General features: G+C 36.1%; 1 protein-coding gene across 2 annotated transcripts in view; it reads right to left on the bottom strand.

Annotated features, from left to right (window-relative positions):
* The window catches only part of DIAPH2 (diaphanous related formin 2), a 920,156-nt gene that overhangs the window by 722,741 nt on the left and 171,895 nt on the right, over nt 1-25,520 (bottom strand). For both annotated transcript variants that reach the window (NM_006729.5, NM_007309.4), the window contains exon 5: nt 539-678. In NM_006729.5, the coding sequence (NP_006720.1) occupies nt 539-678 (140 nt within the window). The remainder of the gene's footprint in view (nt 1-538; nt 679-25,520) is intronic.

Genomic DNA, 25,520 nt, shown 5'->3' with positions numbered 1-25,520 from the left:
CAATATGGTGAAACCCCTTCCCTACTAAAAATACAAACATCAGCCAGGCATGATGGTGCGTGCCTGTAGTCCCAGCTACTCAGGAGGCTGAGGTAGAAGAATTGCTTGAACCTGGGAGGCAGAGGTTGCAGTGAGCCAAGATCGTGCCACTGCACTCCAGCCTGGGCAACAGAGCAAGACTCTGTCTCACAAAAAAAAAAAAGAATAAAATCATGGAGCAAATATACTTAATTTGCTTTATAAATAAATATATAATAATTATCTGATCCCACAAATAGATTTCCATGTAAATGTGGATATTTAACTTCTGGCTCTATGTTAACATTTGTATTCTTAAAATTGTACATTACTAGAGATCCAACTAACTAAATATATTTTTAAAAGTTTACGACTTCACAATCAGATGCTGCTGTTTTATTAACATCAGATTTTTAGTCAGGAAATCTTGAGGTTTAAATAACAAAACTTATTATATTCCCAAACAATTATATGCACTACAAATTGTATGAATCATACCGAAATGATAAGAACGACTTACCTGACCGGATTGCTGGTTAAAGAAACCCTGAGGGATTCTAGGCAATTAAGAAGTTTCTCATCTGATATACCCGATCGTAATTCATGAACATATTCTTGTGAAGACAGGGTGCATTCATGTTTGCTGTTTTTCAGCCCACCCTATAAAATAAACAAAGAGACCATTTTAGACAATGTTTCAAAAAAAATTTAAGTAAAATAATGCATAGAATATTTATTTTGTTATATAAAAATGTGTGCAGAGTGCTACACACTTAAAAATTCTTGATCACAGAATTGATATAGTAAAATTGTGTTGTATATATCTCAACATTTTCCTCAACCTCATTTAAAAAAAAAATTACAGTGCTGGTGCTCATGACCTGAATAGAATATGAACTTGAATTACATAAAGTGTCATTGACAGGGGTGCTTAAATTTACAATTCAGGCATTAGAATTAATATTAGCTAGTCCTCCTTAACCCAGAGGATAAGCATTCAAAAATCATCTTATTAATTTTCCTAGTTAAGATATGTATATTCAATTCCACAAAATCCAGCAAATAAAATTTAATATATACCATTATACATAACCCAAATCTATTGAAAGATATCAGAGTATCAGCCTTTCTAAAAAAAATAAGTGAAAACAGTTATTAAAATGTAAAACAATATAGTCTCCAATTAGCATGTTAATTAATCAAATCAGTTGAAAGCATTCACCAGTTCCCAATTATTCCTTTCTGGTACTCTCAGGTTGTAGATTAATCTTAAAAAGTCATTAAATACATTTATCTGATAGTGACTAGTTTTTAACTTAACTTTCAATATAGATGGAGTTGTTTCTAGAACTCATCTCATCACAGCTCCTTAACTTCATCATCTTGCTATAACTATATAAGTAGTTCAGGGAAAAGGCTGGGAGGAAAATATTGTCAACACATTCACTATACTAACAACTGATAGTTTCACATTCTAGACGTACCTAATCATAATTGCCCCTTTCCTATACTGTAAATGTATATCCCTGAATTAAGACTCCAAGCTTGAGTCCCATTTTACAGGTTCATAAAAATTACACTCAGTTTCTGCTAAGCATCTAAGGATACTTACTATAAAATAACATCATAAGGATATACTATCATAGGAAATATAATATTATAAGGAGATCATAAGGAAAGGAATTTTTCCCCATTGGGTAGAGGTATTATCATTAGAGGATATGACATTTAAAAAAATGTTAATAATGAGAAATGAGTTCCCTATGATTTCACACTATTTGGGTTTTTATTGAGAATGCCTCCTCAATGTAGAAAGTGTTAATCATTCTTAATTTCTGAATTTCAAAAATCCCATTAGATGCTAAATTTTTAAAGTCTGATAAAGGCTTATAACATATAGGGGAACTCTATTCCCTTAGCGCTGTGGCAATATTATAATTATTATAGCACTTAAAATATTGTGGTAGAGGTCATTATTTGTGTCTGTCTCACTTCTACATTGGGAACTCCATCTATGCCACATAACTAACACCGGTCATGAATTTAGTGAGCTTCAATAAAAGTGTGTTATTATTGAACTTCTCCATAATAACTGCAGAACAAGGAATACGATTTCATACTTTGAGCTCCCATATTTTGTATAATGGCCACTGACTTGGTATTTCTTGCTTCGTTATGAGACACAGTAGACGTTAAAAATATACTGGATGGGCCGGGGACGGTGGCTCATGCCTGGAATCCCAGCACTTTGGGAGGCTGAGGCGGGTGGAACACTTGAGGTCAGGGGTTCGAAATCAGCCTGGCCAATGTGGTGAAACTCCATCTCTACTAAAAATACAAAAATTAGCTGGCATGGAGGCACATGCCTGTAATCCCAGCAACTCGTGAGGCTAAGACACGAGAATAGCTTGAACCCGGGAGGTGGAGGTTGCAGTGAGCTGAGATCCCGCCACAGCACTCCAGCCTGAGCCACAGAGCAAGACTCCGTCTCCTCCACAAATAAAAAAGTATACTGGATGAATCATCATCACCTAAATGGCACAGTAAGTAAAACCATCACCGAGAGATCATGTCCATATTCCTGTAACTTCCTTATCCATCTATTATTTCACAAGGAATAATAGCAAGTAAATATTTAAAGCATAATTTTGCAAATTCAAAATTATAGTTTTATTTTTGCTCGGCCAACTCACTTTCTACAACAACACAAAGTTCATCAGTAACAAGGGATCTATTTACTACATGTGCCAGTCTGAAAACTACTAGTAAAACGAATTAAAATTTTCAAGTCTGTAGTCACATACCGCTTTCATATAATCCTCAAAGTTATTTCTAAATTAATATATAAAAAGGCACCACTAATCTTCCCCTAGAGGATTGTATATGGAATTTAACCCTGTTGCGTGACCTTTGTATTTTGCAGTTTTCTCTGCCTTGAAGACCCTTATCCCAACCTCTCCATTGCTGGCTCCCATCATTTTAATCTCAGCTCCATAGTCTTCTCCCCACCCCACATTCTAGTTATCATCGCAACACCATTTTAAATATCATTTACAGTATTACCTCTATGAAAATTTATTTTTGTAATTTAGTTGTTTACTGTCTTCTGCGCTAAAACATAAGCTCTTATGACAGGATTCTTGCCTGCCTTGTTCACCACTATATCCTCAGATCTTAAGACAGTGCTTAAGTAAGCATTCAATACATATTTCCTGAATGAATGAATGGATGGATGGTTGGGTGGATGGATGGATAGAGAATAAACAAAAGGGTAGATGAGTGATGAGTTTCAACATGCTGAAGATTCTAAGCTTAGTTTTGCTTCAGAATATTATAGTTCTGAGACTTTCAGTTGTAATATATTCAGAGATGCTGAATATAGAACAGGTAAACTGAGACACTGTATGGTATGCTGAGGACAGCTCAGAGGTATTTTATATTGGGCATCTCATGGACACAGAATAATCTACTGAGAAAATGTTGGTTCCCTTTTTCTAATTGATTCCCTACAGGATTAGTCTAATTGGGACATATGGTTATGGCCGAGGTACTCCTTGTGGACAAGTGAGCCAGCCCATCACTTTGTGGCTCACTCCCCACCCAAGTCTTAGAAACAAGCTTAAATTATAAAATTTAGGATCCTCTCTGGTTATAAGGAATGGAAGCAAACAATCTACTAGAGCATGACAGAGAATATATAACTTTATAGAACAGATGCTTTTTACCAAGCTTAGAAGGACTTTGAGATTTTAACATAAGTTCATATTTGAAAATTATGAAAATATGATAGCAAGCTAAGGCTGGACTGGCCCTTAAAGATCAGTTCTTCTAATATCCTCATTACAAAAATGAGGAATCCAAGTAATTGCCTAAGTTCACATAATCAGTAAGAGTATGAGACTAAAACAAATATTCTGGTCCTTGGATAGCTCCTGTCTCTACTATATACTACTTTTGCTCAATATTGAATAAAACGTTAAAGCAACAAGTATTTAATTCTGAAATCTCTATTACAAAATGTCAAGGTGTCAAAGTACCTTCAGTATAATCAATATGGTGCAAGAAAATATTTTTAAAATCACCTAAAAACAAAATAGTGCAATACATTAATTCTCATAATACTTAATAGGGCTGTAAGACAAGAATGGCTTATTAACATCCTGTTCTGATACTGAACAAAGGAAACAACTAGATAATGGATGGGTAATAATGGAAATTTTAATTAGCTGCTCTGTATGAGATTAATGAAAATTACCACTGTGCCCATTTGATCTTTAAAAAATAATGCAGACAAAGTTAGCAATTAGCATACATCATGCTATTCCAAACCTAGGTGAACAAAGAGCTTTCCTAATTTGAAGCCATTCCTTAATTTGAAAATCATTAGGATGGAGATACTAGTCAATGTGACTGGGCTTGTATTATTTTAAGACAGTACACAAATAATCAAAAGGTAGTTTGGGCCAGTTTAATAGTCACAGATTCCCCTTGCTCTGATATGAAATGTTAAAATCAACAGCAGAGAAGCAATATTCTAAGAAAGAACACTTCTAGTTTGCAGTGGAGATAATCACTTCTGAGTTTAGATGGACTTAGTCTGAGCATGGTCTGTCATTTTTTAATGTAAAAACAGACTTACTTACAACTTGGGAAAAGGCTTTATGGTTCTTAGCTGTAAAGGTATCTTGCTGCAGACACTAGACAGAACTATTGATTGTACACAGGTCTTTTCAGCTATACAGCATGCACATAGATAGCAATTAGTATCAGGGATGTCATCTTCAAATAGGATGGGCAATATTTTCATGAAAACAGTAATTTTGTTAGTGTTATTGACCATGATTTACAAACCCTAATGAAGTCCATTTCTTTGGCTATTTTAATCAAATAAGTTTCTAATCTATCATCATGTTCTCTGAAAATATAATGCTATAGATTAACATATTTGGGATTATATCTACAAAGGTTCATACTGTTGTTCTTGGAGAGGCTCCTATAACTTTCAAACATAAGAAATCAAAATGCCATTTTCATCACCATCAGTTCCTTGAGTTCAAGGAGGAAAGGGAAACACAAAATAAGTGCCCTATCCAAGTGAATCTATTTATTTATTCTGATAGCGGTATATTTGGTTTGAACAGAGAATGCTATATAGTGCAGAACCTTTAGATGGCTTCTCTCCATTTATGTAAGAAAGCCATCTCTTACTGGGAGAGTAATACAGTTATGTAATTTATGTATCAAAAAATATAAAAAATATATTAAAATCAATTTATAATAAAACTTAAAATAATTTAATATGCAATTTGCATTGAAAAATTTTTTTATTATTATACTTTAAGTTCTAGGGTAAATGTACATAACGTGCAGGTTTGTTACATATGTATACATGTGCCATGTTGGTGTGCTGCACCCATTAACCCATCATTTATATTAGATATATCTCCTAATGCTATCCCTCCCCCCTCCCCAAACCCCACAACAGGCCCCGGTGTGTGATGTTGCCCTTCCTGTGTCCATGTGTTCTCATTGTTCAATTCCCACCTATGAGTGAGAACATGCGATGTTTGGTTTTTTGTTCTTGCCATAGTTTGCTGAGAATGATGGCTTCCAGCTTCATCCATGTCCCTACAAAGGACATGAACTCATCATTTTTTATGGCTGCATAGTATTCCATTGTGTATATGTGCCACATTTCCTTAATCCAGTCTATGATTGTTGGACATGTGGGTTGGTTCCAGGTCTTTGCTATTGTGAATAGTGCCACAATAAACATACATGTGCATGTGTCTTTATAGTAGCATGATTTATAATCCTTTGGGTATATACCCAGTAATGGGATGGCTGGGTCAAATGGTATTTCTAGTTCTAGATCCCTGAGGAATCACCACACTGTCTTCCACAGTGGTTGAACCAGTTTACAGTCCCACCAACAGTGTCAAAGTGTTCCTATTTCTCCACATCCTCTCCAGCACCTGTTGTTTCCTGACTTTTTAATGATCGCCATTCTAACTGGTGTGAGATGGTATCTCATTGTGGTTTTGATTTGCATTTCTCTGATGGCCAGTGATGGTGAGCATTTTTTCATGTGTCTGTTGGCTGCATAAATGTCTTCTTTTGAGAAGTGTCTGTTCATATCCTTTGCCCACTTGTTGATGGAGTTGTTTTTTTCTTGTAAATTTGTTTGAGTTCTTTGTAGATTCTGGATATTAGCCCTTTGTCAGATGAGCAGATTGCAAAAATTTTCTCCCATTCTGTAGGTTGCCTGTTCACTCTGATGGTAGTTTCTTTTGCGGTGCAGAAGCTCTTTAGTTTAATTAGATCCCATTTGTCAATTTTGTCTTTTGTTGCCATTGCTTTTGGTGTTTTAGACATGAAGTCCTTGCCCATGCCTATGTCCTGAATGGTATTGCCTAGGTTTTCTTCTAGGGTTTTATGGTTTTAGGTCTAACCTTTAAGTCTTTTTTTAATTTATTTTTTTTAACCACACAAAAAAATGTAGGGTAAAAGATACTACATATTATCAATTGAAGTCTATAAGAAAAAAACCTACACAGAAAATTACTGTCATCAGGTTAACTTCATATTGTGTCATTTCCCATTGCAGGAAACACTGTTTCTAACTAAGGCATTTTCAGAGGATGAAAATAATAGGCAAAACAAGAGAATATACCGCAAATTATAGGGCAGGGGTGATAAAAGCTTTTCTACAGCAATGTATAAGCATCATAATTCTTCAGATTATATGTGCCATTTTTCCCAAAAAAATTTAAATAAGTTTACTAAAATATGATTAGCTAAAATGTTTAATGAAAGAAAAGTATAAGGTTGTATATGATGAAATCATTTATTGTTCCCTTATTGAAGCTTCTGTCTACTAAATATCAATTAAGCATTTCACTCCCAAATTACAGACTCTTAGACCATCACAGAACAAATATTTAGATGATTTTTTGAGCACTTGTATTACAGATTGAGTATCCCTTATTCAAAATGCTTGGGACCAGAAGTGTTTCAGAGTTCTGATTTTCTCCAATTTTGTAATCTTTACAAATACATAATGAGATATTTTGGGGACAAGACTCAAGTTGAAACATGTTATTTATTTATGTTGCATATGCAACTCATACAAATAGCCTGAAGATAATTTTATACAATGATTTTAATAATTTTGTGCATGAAACAAAGTTTTGGCCACATTTTATCTGTGACTCAACACATGAGGTCAGGTGTGGAATATTCCATTTGTGGCATCATGTTGGTTCTCAAGAAGTTTTGGATTTTGGAGCATTTTCGATTTTGGATTAGAGATGCTCAGCCTGTATTAGAAATGTCAAGTACACAAACTCTAAACATAGTTTTTAATTCTGTGTCCATATTGTTACTTCTTATGTTATGAAAGACATATTTAACCAATAGAGTATAGAGGAAATACTTCATAATAATTTCAAATAATTACTCAAATATTCAAAAAATTTTAGATTTTAACATTAGAGGAAACAAAAAGGTGATATTTTAAAGTAGAACATTAATCCCAAAACACTAACCTTCCTTTCTTATAAAACAATAGCCTCATTTGATCTAGATACTCTCAGAGATACGGACAATTGAAGGCTAAACCATCATTAACTGATTTCCTAGCGAAAGCAAATTAAAATATTTAATGATAGTCAATATTAGTCAATCTGGATAATAAGCAATCAATTTGACATATTTCTTTTTCATATCAATAATGTGTAGTTTATTCTATACTTAAAATCCACATATACTTCTCTTTTAAAACTAGTGTTAAGCAATTTTGGTGAACAATGGGCATATGGGTGAGTAATAGCAAGTAAATCATTAAAACTGTGAAGTGTGTCCACTAGTATTTTCTATGAGCCCCCATCATTATCCATGGTATTTGAGGCAAAACAAATACACATTATGTTTCTCTTTTATTTGACAGAGGCCTTTGAGATATAACAGATAATGAAATGTAAAAAGATATAAAGTCAGGGGTTCTTATCCTGGGGTCTAAATTTAGGGGGTATGTGAATTTGGAAAGGAAAACATATTTTCAGTAACCTCTTACTTAAATCTAGTACTTCTTTCAACTATGAATATAGGAAACAGATTACAGTGGTATTAGCAGCCCCTGCAACTTGGTCACCAAGTCACATTTATTTTCCTGTTATACCACACATAGTGCACTTGTGAAAATACCTTAACTATCATTTATGCTTATCACTTCTTCAAAATTACTTGAGTTATACAACCTGCCACTTTATCTTGTTATTTAACAAATATTGTAAAGAACTACAATTACTGTGTCTCAATTTTTTAATCAAACTATTTTTAGATATTGGAAATATGCATGCAGTTCTAAGAAATAATGCCCAGAGATCCCTTTTCCCCCAATGGTAACATCCTGGTAATCTATATTATGATATCACAACTGGGATATTGACATTGATAAAACCCATCTATCTTATTCAAATTTCCCTAGTTTTATTTGTACTTATTTGTGTGTTATATATGTGTGTGTGTATATATACATGTGTATATATATTTTTATATGTGTGTGTGTGTGTGTGTGTGTGTGTGTGTGTATATATATACGCATTTCTATGCAGTTTTATCATGTGTAAATTCAGGTATACCAACACCACAATCAAGATATGGAACAGTTCCATCACCACAAGGATCCCCCAAGTTGGCCTTTCAATAACCACACCCATCTCCTTCCCACAACCCTCCACCCCAGCAACCACTAACCTATTCTCCACTTCTATCATTTTTTTTCAAAAGTATCATTTACAAATGGAATCACATCAAGTTCAAAAGCTTCTGCAAAGCAAACAATCAACAAAGAGACAACAGAATAGGAAAACATATCTGCAAACTATACATACATCTGACAAGAGATTAATAACCAAAATATTTAAGGAGCTCAAGCAACTCAACAGGAAAAAAACTAATAATCTGATTTTTTTAAATGGACAAAAGATCTCAGTAGACGTGTCTCAAAAGAAGACATACAAAGGACAAACAGGTATATGAAAAGGTGCTCAACATCATGCATTGTTGGAGAAAAGCAAATCAAAACTACAATGAGGTATCATCTCACCCCAGTTAAAATGGCTTGTATCCATCCAAAAGAAAGGCAATGACAAATGCTGGCGAGGATGTGGAGAAAAGGGAACCCTCATAAACTGTTGGTGGGAATGTAAACTAGTATAGCCACTATGGAAAACAGTATGGAGCTTCCTCAAAAAACTAACAATTGAGCTACCATTTGGTCCAGCATTCCCACTGCTGGGTATATGCCAAAAAGAAAGAATCAGTATATCAAAGAGATATCTGCACTCCCATATTTATTGCAGCAGTATTCACAATAGCCAAGATTTGGAAGCAACCTAAGTATCCATCTACAGACAAATGGATAAAGAAAATGTGGCACAGGGGCCAGGCGTGGTGGCTCATGCTTGTAATCCCAGCACTTTGGGAGGCCGAGGCAGGTGGATTGCCTGAGGTCAGGAGCTCAAGACCAGTCTGGCCAACGTGGTTAAACCCCGCCTCTACTAAAAATACAAAAAAATTAGCCGGGCGTGGTGGCGTGCACCTGTAATCCCAGATACTCGGGAGGCTGAGGCAGGGGAATTGCTTTAATCAGGGAGGTGGAGGTTGCAGTGAGCCGAGATCACACCACTGCACTCCAGCCTGAGTGACAGAGCAAGACTCCATCTCAAAAAAAAAAAAAAAAGAAAAAGAAAATGTGGCACATATACACAATGGTGTACTATTCCGCCATAAAAAAGAATGAGATCCTGTCATTTGCAACAACGTGGATAGAACTGAAGGACATTAGGTTAAGTGAAATAAGCCAGGCAAAGAAAGACAAACATCTCATGTTCTCATTTGTGGGAGCAAAAATTTAAAACAATTGAACTCATGGAGATAAGAGAGTAGAATGATACTTGCCAGAGGCTGGGAAGTGGGTGGGGAGGGGAAATGGGGATAGTTAATGGGTACAAAAGTATAGTTTAACAGAATGGGTAAGATCTGGCATTTGATAGCACAACAGGGTGACTATAGTCAACAATAATTTATTGTACAATTAAAGATTGTACCATTTACCCTGATGTGATTATTATGCATTGTATGCCTGTATCAAAACATCTCACGTACCCCTTAAGTATATACACCTACTATGTACCCATAAAAAAAGGAATGTCATTTACATGAAATCATACTATATGTAACTTTTTGGCACATGGACTTCTTCCATTCACCATAATGCCCTGGGAAGGCACACAAGTTATTGTGTATATCAATAGTTTATACCTGTTTATTGCCATACAGTATCCCATAGTATGGATAATACAGCTTATTTAACCACTCACCCGTTAAAGAACATTTAGGCTGTTTCCAGTTTTTGTCTACTATGAATAAAACTATGAACATCCATGCACAGGTTTTTGTGTGAACATATGTGTTTATGTCTCTGGAATGTGTCATAATTTTTAAAAACAATTTTATAAGTACATTTTAATATGATTGGTTTCCTTTATAATCCTATGTCTTTTGTGTTTTACATCTAAAAATATGATTCTAAAAAGGTCCCCATAAATTCACCAACTTTCAGAGGGGCCCATGGCACAAAATGAGTAAGAACCCTTCTAGTAGCCTGTTACCTCTATTTTGGAATTACACTGCATTTACTCCACCCACTGTCCTAGGACAGAAGAAAAAGTACACTACCTTTTTTTTTTTTTTTTTTTTTTTTTGAGACGGAGTCTCGCTCTGTCGCCCAGGCTGGAGTACGGTGGCGCGATCTCGGCTCACTGCAATCTCCGCCTACCAGGTTCACACCATTCTCCTGCCTCAGCCTCCCGAGTAACTGGGACTACAGGCACCCGCCACCACGCCTGGCTAATTTTTTTTGTATTTTTGGTAGAGACGGGGTTTCACCGTGTTAGCCAGGATGGTCTTGATCTCCTGACCTCATGATCCTCCCGCCTCGGCCTCCCAAAGTGCTGGGATTACAGGCATGAGCCACTGCGCCCGGCCCACTACCATTTTAAATAAAGAAAGTTCATGTATGTAAATAGTGACTTTAAAAAATGGGCAGGATTTGATCAATGATAATGTGCAATAGGATAACCAATGTATTTCGCATAGGCAATCTCTTCATTGTACTGTTTAAAGATAGGAACAACAGTAAGACTTACCAACATTTGTTGTGTTGGGGCAAAGATTATGAAGGTATTTAAATAAAATGGTTTCCCTCTCTGCTTTACCATTTTGTAAATCCGATTCCAAGAGTAACTTTAGACAGTGTAACAAAGCAAGTTTAATAATACTTTTGCAGATTATAAATGTATCCTACAGCCTAGATATAAACTGCATTTTAAGTAGGTAATGAAGCTATACATTGTAAATGAAATAAAGAAATATTCCTTCCACAAAACAAAAAATTACCCTATTATTTTCAAAACGCTAGCCTTCTAAACATTTTAGTAAGTGCTATCAGACAAAATGAACACACTGAATTTTATCAGTTCCTTGTCTACCTGCTGATGGGAGGTAGTGCATCAATAGTAAAATGGCCAAAGGATAGGAAAACAAGGAAAAATAAAAAGAAATGTAACTAATTGTCACATGAATAAATGGATGTGTGCCTCCAGCACTGAATGGGATTGCCTGTAATCCCAGCACTTTGGGAGGCCGAGGCGGGCGGATCACGAGGTCGGGAGATCGAGACCATCCTGACCAATATGGTGAAACCCCATCTCTACTTAAAAAAAAAAAAAAAAAAATACAAAAAATTAGCTGGGCATGGTGATGGGCGTCTGTAGTCCCAGCTACTCGGGAGGCTGAGGCAGGAGAATGGCGTGAACCCCGGAGGTGGAGCTTGCAGTGAGCCAAGATCACGCCACTGCACTCTAGCCTGGGTGACAGAGCGAGACTCTGTCTCAAGAAAAAAAATAAATAAATAAAGGATACCTTAAACTTCTATAGCAAAAACAGCTTTCACAACTTTTCCTGCATACTATTTCATCTGAATCTAACAACAGGGAAAATATTACTAAAACCATTTTTTCTTCTGCTGTGAAAACTGAGTCACGGAGAAGTCATGTCTTGTCTGAGACTATATCTAACTGTCAGAAGCAAGGCTAGAACCCAGGCTATAGAGTCGCCCTCTGAGGACAGTACAAAACCATCTTAAAAAGGGGCATAATTTGCTTCCAAAGGAGGATTATAACAAAAAGGGAAAAGCAGGCAAAAGTTTCTGAAATATTCCTTACCTTAATAGCTGTATGAATTTAGTCAAGTGATTACTTGACTTCCTGGGCCTGAGGTTCCTTATTGGCAAAATGGGAACAATAAAGCATCTACCCTCCTCAGGCTTGTCATAAGGGTGAAATAAGGATCCTGGTCAAACATAAGGTCTGGTATATAATAAGCACTTAACTAATGTTTGGTGCCATTATACATTATTTTATCATTAATTTAGTGAGTACTTTCGTTAACAATTGCCTAGTTGACTGCTCATGTTATGAAGTTATTAGTTTCTGTTCACCTAAATTATTCAAGCAAAGACCTGCCACTAGGTCTGAGATGCTGGAAAAGGATTCTTACCTTAGGTAGGAGACTAGTATTAGTAGTAGTAGTAGTAGTAGTAGTAGTAGTAGTAGTGGTAGTAGTAGCAGTATTTTTGAGATGGAGTGCAGTGGCGGAATCTCGGCTCACTGCAACCTGCGCCTCCTGGGTTCAAGTGATTCTCCTGCCTCAGCCTCCTGAGCAGCTGGGACTCCAGGCGTGCGCCACCACGCCCAGCTAATTTTTGTATTTTTAGTAGAGTCGGGGTTTCACCATATTGGCCAGGCTGGTCTCGAACTCCTGACCTTGTGATCCACCCACCTCGGCCTCCCAAAGTGCTGGGATTACAGGCATGAGCTACCACGTCCGGCCTGAGAAGACTATTATTTTCACAGGGGTCCATGGAATTCCTTGAGGTGTTTTCCAGGTTGCCTTGGAGGGTGAGTAGGGAATGTGCAAAAAAGGAAGGCTCCTGGGGAGACTTCCCAAGTCTCTGCTCCCCCAAAAATGAGGGCATTTACACATTTATCTTCTAATTTATTCATATCCCACATATGATTTTTTATGAATAAGCTGCTCTTATGTTAAATAAAATAAGGTTTTAAACCCACTGAGCTAGATGATCCCAAAGGTCCTGCCCTGTTGAATCTATGATTTGGAATATGCCACTATATGCATACTAAAGCAAAAGCTTTTCTTCTTTAAAGCATAAAATTTTAATTGGACACTATATTCTCTGCACACACATTCACTATATTCTCTGCACACACATTGATTATACAGATTCTCGGTTTCTTCACAAAATAGACTACAGAGACACAAGGCATCTATCTCTTACTGTGCATATGGTATCATTTTTGTATTAGAATATTACCAGTCAGCATGAATTGAGTTCCCATGAGGTTCCAGGCACTGAGAGTACAGAGATAAGCGATGATATATCCTCACCATCCCAGCAGAGCTTATTCAGGTATGGTAAGCAACAACATGCAGACCACTGTCAATGTGATATGTGCCTTCAAAATAGATAGGGGGTGATAAGGGAGTTTGAAGGTTAAAGGACTTGACTCTATGCGGGGGAAGAAGGTCTGCCCAGCTGTAAAAACTGTTCACCAAAGGTAGATAAGGCTATTTCAGTTAGAAATTACAATAAATATTGGGTCATAATACAACATGCTATGTTCGGGGATTTGTTAGATCAATATACCTGGAGCTCACAGCAATGGTACTCAAACTGGGATCCTTGAACATAGTTTTAATCATCCCTGAGTCTGGTAAGGTAATGTTAAAATTCTGAAGTTTCATTTCTTAATATGATAAAGCTAGGCATAAGCTGGATCATCTAGATAACTACCTTATAACCAAGTCCTGCCAATTAGTCTCAGCATCCATATATTCACACTGTTACCAGGAAGTACAACTTTCATTACCTCTGGCTAATGAGATGGCCTTAGTGTGAAAACACATATGTACCAAAATAAAGACCAAATGACATCGCAGCATGCTATACCAATCAAAATTTAACCATAGATCAGAGAACACTAGTGGCACAGTTGGGTTATCCTACGGCACGGTAGGCACAGAGAACCCAAAAGTGCCCGCACTGTAGTATATTCACATTGTAATTGGCAATTTAGAGTCAGCAAATGATTTATTACTTAAAATAATGTTAATTTAAATTTTATGGGTTTTGTATTTAACATGTATATTTGATAAGTTGTATAAGAGATGCTGCTATAGTGTGTACCCTATGTTGCCACGTAGTTAAACAGTATAATTAAAATATTTAAAGTTAACACTGACATATTTGAAATCAAATAGTATCTTAGTGGGATACTCCTCTGGTTAATATTTAAAAGAGGAATGACTTGTTTATATTAGTATATATAAATTCAAAAAATATATGAAAGTTGATTTTGGGGGATTTCATTTCAATAAACTAATTTTACCTAACAAACTCAAACATATGTGTTTATTTTCTATAGCAGTGATGCATGTATAGGTTATTCAAGCCTTTTGTGATAAATAATTCATCTTTGCTGCATGAACCAATTTCAGTTCTAAAATGGTATACAGTGAATATCACGAAATACTGCTTACCCCAAAGTCCTATCCTAACTTGAAAGAACAATCTGGCCAGGTGCGGTGGCTCACGCTTGTAATCTCAACACTTTGGGAGGCCGAGGCGGGCAGATCACTTGAGGTCAGGAGCTCGAGACCAGCCTGGCCAACGTGGTAAAACCCTGTCTCTACTAAAAATACAAAAAATAAGTTGGGCATGGTGGCACGCGCCTGTAAACCCAGCTACTTGGGAGGCTGAGGCAGGAGAATCGCTTGAACCTGGGTGGCGGAGGTTGCAGTGAGCCGAGATCATGCCACTACACTCCAGCCTGGGCAACAGAGCAAGACTCCGTCTAAAAAAAACAAAACAAAACAAAACAAAAACCCAACCTGATAAGAATACTGAGCTAGTACTTGAGCGTATAGACTTTGTAGGGTTTTTATAAAAGTACAAACAATGTTCTGGCCCATAAGTGCTATATATCATGTCATAGTTAGAGGTTATGCCAATAGAAACAGCAGTATGGCATTACCCAATATGATGGCATTACTTTTACAGATTACCAACCATCTGTTTCTGCTGGTAGCATTCTTACCTCTAAGGACCTAAGTTGTGAATTTGAATATAAGGAAACACACATTTCTGTTTCCTCAAAACAATTATTTTAGAAATAATACTTTTTCATGGTCCACATTATACAATTTACTATTCTAGCATGTCATTTACTTCTCAGAGAAAAAATTAGTATAATCTAACAATTCAACAGACATGCACACACATACCTCCAAAAGGCTTCATTTCTTTTTTCTACACCCAAAGTAGGATATAGATACTAAATATTTTCAATAAGTAATATAATCAGTAATCTCATAAACTTTCTCACAAAATGAATGAGCCTTTCAACTTATCAAATATATTCAGTGAAGATTTTGTACAGCAAAGAATAAAAAGTACAACTCATATGATTTTTAAGTGCATGTTTACTTGATATTAAACATACAATTTATGCTAACCAAATCTGACATCAGTTAGTGGGCTCTGCTGCCAATTCTATATTCCTTTAAACAAGACAAGATAAAATAACAAAAAAAAGTCAGCCATCTGGAGCTCAGTAGGTTAATGCACTATTCTGACACTTCCAACTAGTACAATTAAGGGCAAAACACTCTCAAAGGAAAAGACTGCTATATGAAATATGTCTTTGGGAAAAATAAGAAATCTTGCAAAAACAAAAAACCTGAATATTCCTTAGGTTATTTTAAAAATTGGGGCATGTTGCAGGCAAGTATTAATATTGTTATGCAGATCCACTTAGTCAAGGAATATAATAAGAAATTCTAGGAGGAACGAGGCATGATCCTAAGCATTGAGAGGAATATGAACATTCACAAACTTCCCACCTGGCAAGAGCTGTTCATGTAAGGTCAAAGACTGGCCTCATCTCTAAAAGCACGTCTAGTCACAAATTATATTTACATACAAAAGCAACCAACACATTACAACTGATTGACTCCCTCGATATGATACAGGAGTGAGGGATAACTAATTTTGGAGTCATGAAAATTTGATTTGAATCCAGTAGTCTGCTACTTAAGACCACTGTTTAACTGTACAAGTAACAATTTTTCCCAGTTTCATTATATCTTATAGAATTGTTTTGAGGATTTAAATATAAATAAATGTAAAGTGTCTGGCCCTATGCCTGACACATAGTTAGGTACACAATGGACATTTATTTCCTGTCCAAACATCATCATCAACAATATCCAATTCTTGAGTGTACTATGTGCCATTCACTGTACTACTCACTAAATTTATTATCCTAATCCTTAGAAACAATCTTGAAAAGCAGTAATCACACACATTTTATAAATGGGAACAAAAATTCACACAAGTTAAAAAACTTTATCTGAGGTCACACAGCTAGTAAGTATGAGAGATCCAAACTATGGACTATTTGGACTCCTTCCAGGGGCCTGCCAGGCCCTGGGTAATTTTTCCCCTACCTCTTTCTACAACTTCATCTGATGCCCTCCCCTGCCCCAAATTACTAACTTCCAAACTGGTCTCTTATCTGGCACTCAAACACTCAAAACCCATTCTCACATTAGGACCTTTGCATGTGTTCTTCTTTTTGCCTAGAGGGCCCCTTTCCTGAATTTGAACATGGTTGTCTCCTTCCCATCATTCAAATATCCCCTCTTTGCACAGGCCTTCTCTGGCCAACCAATATGATGCAGCACACAACTAACCCACTTATGCCTACTGTTCCAGTATCGGAACACTAAGCTTGTGGGAGTTATTATATCCTACTGCTCAAGGTCATCGCCAAGGTCTGATTGTTCACATAAAAAATCTGCAGCCTCTGGCATAAATGGGTTAAAATGGCATCTTAACAAAAAAGAACACTCAATGTTTTAGTCTTTTGGAGGCTCATTACTATTTGGTATTTTCTTTGTTTATTCTTCTGTTGACTATCTGTCCCTCTTCACTAAGGGGTTAGGTTCTTAATAAACTGGGGTTTAAAATGCTTGAAAGTATAATAGTTAATTTCTACCATTCAGATTTTGGATAGATTTCAGTATTTGGTTCTGAATATTAGAGCTCTTTTGGAAGAACACAAAATGAATTAGAAAAAAATATTTCAGTAATCCCTTTACCATCCCTGTAAGGTGAGACATATTATCCCCGTTTTACAGATTGGGAAAGTTCTTTAATCAAATTTGGCCATGATACACAATGACAAATGGATGTGGGAATAAAGCCTAGGGCATCTGATTTCTACTTCAGTGTCCTATCCATTCGTCTTTCTCTCTCATGACTTTGGCAGTTCTCATTGTCCTAAAATGCAGTCCAGGATTGCTTATTCTCCAAAGGACTGGCTCAGTTGTCAAGGCCACAAAGATACAGAACTTACAAAAAAATTCACTGCTTTAGTTTGGGGATTTAACACAGTAATGCAATTTCAGAGAATAACAACCCAGCACACACACACAAGACATTCCAATTGTAAGAAAACACACCATGTACCCACTGCCTTCAGAACAAGATTCAAATATGTATGCCAAATAATATTCTTTGTTTAATTAATTTGATAACAGTTCACACAGTTATCCATTTTTATCCATTTTTAACAGTATTCTGTTAATATTCTGTTAAAGAAACTACAATACCGTTAAAGAAACTAAAAAGCCCTACCCATGGGGTAAGATGGATATTCTTTTACAATGCTGATAGCAATGAGCAGATTTGGCATAACATTTCTGGAAAGCCATGTGGTTAAAAAAAAAAAAAAAAAAAGTGCCTCAAAAAGTATGACTTATTTTTGACCTGATAATGCTACTTCTAGGAATCTTTCACAGGAAACAATCTGAACTGTAGCTAGGACTTCACGTTCTAAGTTATTCATGACATCATTTTTATATCAGAGAAACTTGTAAATACATTGAACAGTGCAAATATCGGGAAATAAAGAGGTAAGCTTTATCTATTTAAAATGGAATATTATGCAGCCATTAAAAATTGTTTTGAGACAGGGTCTCACTCTGTCTCCCAGGCTGGAGTGCAATGGCGTGATCACATATCACTGCAGCATTGACCTCCTGGGCTCAAGCGATCCTCCCACCTCCCCATCCGGAGTAGCTAAAACAATAGGTGCGCACCACCATGCTCGGCTAATTTTTTGTATTTTTAAGAGAGACAGGCTTTCCCCATGTTGCCCAGGCTGATCTCGAACTTCTGGGCTCAAGTAGTCTGCCCGCCTTGGCCTCCCAAAGTGCTGGGATTACAGGCATGAGCCACTGTGTCTGGCCTATTAAAGTATTTTAATGATGTGGAAATACATCTTTGACTCAATATTATTTAAAATGAGATACAAAACTCTAGGTACAGAATTATTTGAATTAGGTAAAAATGTTTACCTAATGTTTCAATTAGGTAAAAAATGATTTCAACTAGGTAAAAAATTCAATTAGGTAAAAAAAACTCTAGGTACAGAATGATTTCAATTAGGTAAAAAATCTAAATAGTAATTTATAGCAATGTTAATGATAATTATACCTAAGTAAGAGGATTTTAGATACATACTCTCTTCTTTAAAATTTCCTTTGTTTTCAGATTTTCTAAATTAAAGATTGTTACTTTTATAATTGAAATACATTAAATATTATTTTAAAAAGAAAGCTGAACCAACTGTTCTGGTCAAAGTCACTCAAAAAACATGGATATATGGTTTCAATAAATGAAAAAAGAGTGATAATGAAAGAGTTGAGAGGTGAAAGAAAAAAATAAGAAAGGAGCTGTACAAAATAGTACAGGAAAAAAATGTAGAACCAAAAAAAAAAAAAAAAAGGAATAATGAGAACACAAAGAAAGGACTCATAACAAAGCAGGTACAGCCTCTCCTACTTCAACTAGGAAAGATTTGCACCTTTTCAACCTCAACCACTTAGAGGATGTTTATTCAAGTATGTACCACCTCCTACTTGTTAAAGACCCAGGACACATCTTTATAGACAGACATTTATGAGTAAAGCACATTTACAGAGGGAAGTGGAGGTGAAAGAATACGTATTACACAACACCTGAAGTTCTACAGTCAAGCAGAAAAGACAAAAAAATTTCCCCATAAAGCGTTTCTCATATATATTTCCTTCAGGTAATTTTTTTTCTCAAGTCCTAACACCTTCTTGTTGACTACACAGTGAATGATTAGGACAAGACTTAAACCTTGCCTTAAAAGTTTACAGTCCAGGATTCTCTCAAAGTCCAAGGCAAAAACAACCACAGTAAAACAAATGAACAACCAACAACAAGAAGAGAACTCTGACTGGTTGTAGTGTGATGGCATTGTTTTAATGGTCACTGTATACATAATACAAAACCAGTCTATGTCTTTAAAAAATATATGTTGACATGACCATGCATACAGGCACACATACACAAATATACAGAGAAATCCAGCTCAAGTTCAAATTCCAGATATGGTCAAGATCACCTAATTAACGCCAGCACTAGCTGGAACTCTGTACATAGTGGTCAGTCTTGGGAATTGAAGGTAATTATCCAATGAGTGTCTACTACATGTAAGACACTATGTTAGGTAAAACAGAGACAAATGAAGTTCCCTTCAGGGAACTTAAAGAAAGGATGAATGCTCATTAATCTCAGTGAGGTGTCACCATTACAATGATCATTCATTCAAATACTTACTGAGTTACTCATTCATTTCCAATCATTACTGAAAATGTACCGTGTTTGGCATTGTGCTTGTTGTTAATAATATGATGACCAAGAAGACAGTGCTCAAATTTGAAGTTAAAAATATAAATCTTAAGTAGTTGACAACACAGGCCCAAACCATACAAATTCATTCAATGAATACTTAGCACGCATCTACTATGTGCCAGACACTCTGCTAACTCTACGGATATGGTAGTAAACCAAAGGTACAATGCTACTCAGGTGGTCCTTATTTTTCAGTAATGTAAGTATAAAGGGTATGGAATGGGGTATTAGGGTAGCACATAGGAGGATGCAACCCAGATGTCCAAAAAGCCTTTGTAGGAGAAGGAATGTCTAATATGAAAACTGAAGGATAAGCAAGAACAAGAGATCATAAGAGAAAGCTCAGGCGAGGTTGGACAAGTAACGGAGAGTGTTCCAGGTGGAGGGCACAGCACCGTGGAAGATTCAGTGATGAGAGAGAATGAAACAGAGTCATGGAAATGGAAGAAGTTCGGTATGGCTGTAGGGGTGTACATGTATTTGTGTGTACATTTGCATGTGTGTGACTGAGAGAGATGGGGTGGGGAAAGGGACAAGGAGCAGGAAAGGGAGAATGAATTTATTTGCTGGGGAGCAGATGCTGGTGAAGTAAATATAAGTCATGAAGACCTTGAAAGCCCCATTAAGGGGTTTGGACTTAATCCAGCGAAGTGAAATCACTGAGGATTTTTGTAAGCTGGTGAGTGACATGTTTAGATTTGTGTAGCGAATAGAAGAAAGGGGGTAAGGATGGAAGGAAAGAGACCAGTTAGGAGACTGCTATTGTAATCAAGGTGATGAGGATGGTGGCCTAAACTAAAAAGGTGACAGGGGTAATGGGAAGGAGCAGATGAGTTTCAGAAATATTTTAGCAGTTAGAATAGATAGAATGTGGTCACAGATTGGAAGTAGAGAATGAGGAAGTGCAAGGAATCAAGTATGAAACACAAGTTTCTAGTTTAGACATCTGGAAGTACGGCAATGTCAATTTCCTGAGGTGGAGAAAGCAAAGAAAGGGACACGTATGTTGCTGTTTTGTTTTGTTTTGTTAGCATTAAGATCTGTTTCCTTATAATTTTTACTTTACTGATAATAGATTTTTTTAACCTCCAATGGAATGAAAAAGGACTATTCAAATTGTTCCATCCTATCACAGCCCTTCTATCTTATGGAGACAAGTATATCCTGCCTAAACCTCCTTTTCAGTTTTCAAGCATTTCAGAACGAAAGAATAAATGCAGAACACTCTATGGTTCCTGGTCCATAGAACATGATCAATAAAAGTTATTATCATTTTTACTTAGCAGAATACTTTAGCATTCATAACATTAAAACCTTAAAAATCTCTGCCATTCTCATTTTCCTTTTACCCCATAAAGTCCGGGGAGAATTTTTTATAAGTCATTAAAAATCCCACCAGACTAGAAGCTTAGTTTTCACATTGTCATCTAACATACGATTATATAATTACATTGTACATAACTGAAAGCATACATCATATGACACGTGTAATTTCTTTTAACCACTGTATCAGAGGAATGTTTTCATTTTCTACACAGCATATCTAAGTCATTCTAGTGTCTACCTGATAATACTCCTGAGTGTATGGCTCATAATTAAGCATTGCCCTCTTGGAATTAAGGTTTCTGCCCACCCCAATTTTCCATTAGTATAAACAATCCTGCAAATAAATACTTTTTTCTTCTTTTGGATAATTTCCTTAGGGTAAATTGTCCAAAATACTAAATCACAGGGGTCAATAGATACAAGGATTGGTATATTCCGTCAAATTCTTTTCAAACAGATTTAATGCTACCAGCATAATACAGTAATGCACAAATTTCATGGTATTAGGCAATGCCATTTTAAGATTTCCAATTGAAAAGATGGAAAATGATACCTCATTTTCAAATTTTGCATTTCTCAATTGGTATGTTAAAGTTTTTCCCATTTTACTAATTTTATTTCCACTCATACGTATTGTCTATTTTTTTGCACATTTATCTATCCAAACCTAGATGCTTCCATCACATTCTATGCAGTGCATGGATACTAACAATATTAATCCCGTGTGTAATAAACTTGCAGGTATTTTTCTGAGTGTTTTATATTTTACAGCATTCTATACAGTTTAGCTTTTATTTATTCAAAGTTGTAAATCTGTCCTTTTGTAACTTCAATTAATTCAAAGCTTACAATATTTTCACTTCAATGTTTACTTTTAATCTGTCTATGATTTTGGTACACAATATGAGTTATGGAGCCAGATTTACAGGCAGATTACTTAATGAATGGTATTGGAATGTATATTTCCTCCCCATTATTTTCTATCCTTACAGAAAACATAGTTCATATTTATAATATACATATGCAAAAACATAATCTAGGGCGGGCATGGTGGCTCACGCCTGTAATCCCAACACTTTGGGAGGCCGAGGCGGGCGGATCACAAGGTCAGGAGATCGAGACCATCCTGCCTAACACGGTGAAACCCCGTCTCTACTAGAACTACAAAAAATTAGCCGGGCGTGGTGGTGGGCGCCTGTGGTCCCAGCTATGCAGGAGGCTGAGGCAAGAGAATGGCATGAACCTGGGAGGCGGAGCTTGCAGTGAGCCAAGACTGCACCACTGCACTCCAGCCTGGGCAACACAGTGAGACTCCCTCTCAAAAAATAAATAAATAAATAAATAAATAAATAAATAAATAAATAAATAAGAATCTATTATTGAACTTTCTTTCTATTCCCACTTATTTACATGAATGTGTGTGCTATTATAATATCTCCCTTTTTTAAAAATGTGAATCCTTCATCTTTTTATAGGATTAGTCCCCCATCACCAAAATATTGCCCATGGTTCTCAAAATGGCATTTTACATTCTTGCCAGTTTCCTCTTCCATCTGTATAATAATCTTGCTAAATTCAATAAAGTCAACTAAAATTCCTGTTTTTATTTATAATTATGTTAGATGTATAAATTTACAAGAGAAATTTTATATATTTATGGCCTTTATCCATCTAGAATTGCACTGTCTTCGTATTTATTCTAGTCGCTTTCTATAGCTCTCAAAGTGCTGTAGATTTATGTAGGTTATATACCCTCCTATTAAGCTTATTAAAATCAGCTTATACTTGTTTACTATTATGAATGTGACCTTTTTCATCATGTTCTCAAACTGGCTACTATTGTTATAAGGAAATGGTATTGATAACACATCACTTTACTAAATATTTAATTTAAAATTTTAATAAATTTAGGTACATAGTCAACCATTGACTTATCTTCCTCCTAAACTCTTTCAAAATTCAAACCTTCAATTGGAACATGAGACACAAATACATGTGACTCCAGGCTTTTAAATTTCTAATACAGGGATTGTCTTCAGAGGTATCAAAAATAACAAGTTTTTCTTGGTTGTATCAATCAAATTCCCACATCAGTTAAAAGAAGCAGAGAGAAGCGGACATATCTGTCACATTTCAGCTGTGTGTTTCTTAGTATGTTCCTCCAGCCTCACAAATGGCTGCTTCCAGGCAATGACACCTACTGTCTGCAGGCTCAATTATGACAAGGGAACTCAAAATAGTTAGGATCCACAGTATTGCCTGTAAGTCACATCTAGATTTATCTTTCCTGTCCTAAGTCTTGAGTCCCAGGTACTTAGGGTAAACGTCCCTTGCTGGGCCAGGAACCTGACTTGAACACTAGCTAACTTGGCATTATGCTAACCTTTCCCTCTAGGAATTGAATATAGCATCCTGCATGGTGAATCCCAAAGCTTGGCAAGAATTTTTGCTCCAAACCAGACTGATCTCCTGGAACCACAATTCTGCCAAAGGTCTGCCTGAAAGAACATGCAGCTGCATTCTCATGACCAGAGCAGACTCCTTGGATATTGTCAATAGGCCAGATAAAATGCCATTTCACCACATCTGTTTGAGCCTTCATTTCATCTACAGCCATGCCACATGGAAGGTTCAACCAAGTTCTAAAATTCTGACTCATGGTTGTCAATTTACTTTATTGTCACCACTGGCCACTACATCAGTGTTCACAGTAGACATCAAGGCTGAAATAGTCCAATATCTAGCATAAACAACCAATGACCACCATGAATGATTTTACCTAGTACCCTGGAATACAAAATTAAAAAAGTGTACTTCAAGGGAATCAAATGAGTTTTGTCAATATATGTAATATATTATTAAATACCCATGTATTCATCAAATATTTTATCACTGTTCTATCAATAAAAATGAATTCTCACACACATATACTTTACTCCAAATATTTACTTTGATTTAAGAATAAATTATTTTAAGAGGAGAAGAAATTTAGATCTGGTTTTTATAACATGCAAATGGTTGACTCCCTCTACTGGATAAAAAATACTTATAGCTTAGCTTTCAGAAAATAGGTGTACCTTACATTATACAACAAGTTGTAACTTACAAGCATTTGCACATATATTATGTCATTTGATCCTCGTAACAACCATGTGTGACATGCAGGGCAGATAACAACAAAGAAAACAAGATTCATGCTAGGTGACTGTGCTGTTGAAATTCATGCAGCTATATCGCTGAAAGCATCACAATCCAGGTGTTTGGGCTACTCCTGGGTCAGTGTTTTTTTCTCTTTAACAGCCTTTTTAAAGAAAACGCTCGTTATTCCAATGGGAAGAAAATTCCAACTTATAATAAAAGCAACATAACTTTCGAAATGTATGTGAAACACACTTATTAGTTAGCTTGGTACCCCTAAAGGATACTGCGTTTTTCTATGGACACTTGATATCAAATGCAGAAAATACTTTAGAAATCTACATTTCAACAGATTGTTTCTCTGAAAATAAACAATATCTCTAGAAATAATATTTTGAAACACTCAGTACTATGATAAACTTTTTATTAAAGTAATGACTTGTAATTTCTGAACATTTTTGTAAATAAGCAACTATTAGTCCTGAGTGTATTTACTCCCTCTTTCCTGTAAAAATGGAAATAATATACACCTTCAAAAGTGAAAATAAACTTGCAGAAGTTTCAACCAGTGGTATAGCATATACATTCAGTGAGCATTCACATTATATTCACATAGAACACAGCAGAAATGAAATACTATAGCAGGTATTTTCCAAATCTCCCTAATTTAAAACAAAAAACCCCAGAATTCAGAAGGATATTTTACGTTTTCAGCTTCATGTCTTGTGAGAATATGCAGACCTTTCATAACATTAGTAATATCAAAAACTCCTCAAGTGCAAACACCACTTTTCTTTTTTTTTAAGATGCAGTCTCACTCTGTCTCCCAGCCTGAAGTGTAGTGGATCGATCTCGGCTCACTGCAACCTCTGACTCTCGGGTTCAAGCGATTCTCTTGCCTCAGCCTCCCGAGTAGCTGGGATTACAGGTGCCAGCCAACACGTCCAGCTAATTTTTTTGTATTTTTAGTAGAGACAGGGTTTCACCATGTTGGCCAGGCTGGTTTCAAACTCCTGACCTCAAGTGATCCGCCCACCTCGGCCTCCCCAAGTGCTGGGATTACAGGGATGAGCCATTGCGCCCGGCCAAGACCACATTTTTTTTT

The sequence above is a fragment of the Homo sapiens genome, chromosome X, assembly GCF_000001405.40.
Source record: "Homo sapiens chromosome X, GRCh38.p14 Primary Assembly".
NCBI lineage: Eukaryota > Metazoa > Chordata > Mammalia > Primates > Hominidae > Homo > Homo sapiens.
This window is presented reverse-complemented; position numbering and strand designations above follow the sequence as displayed.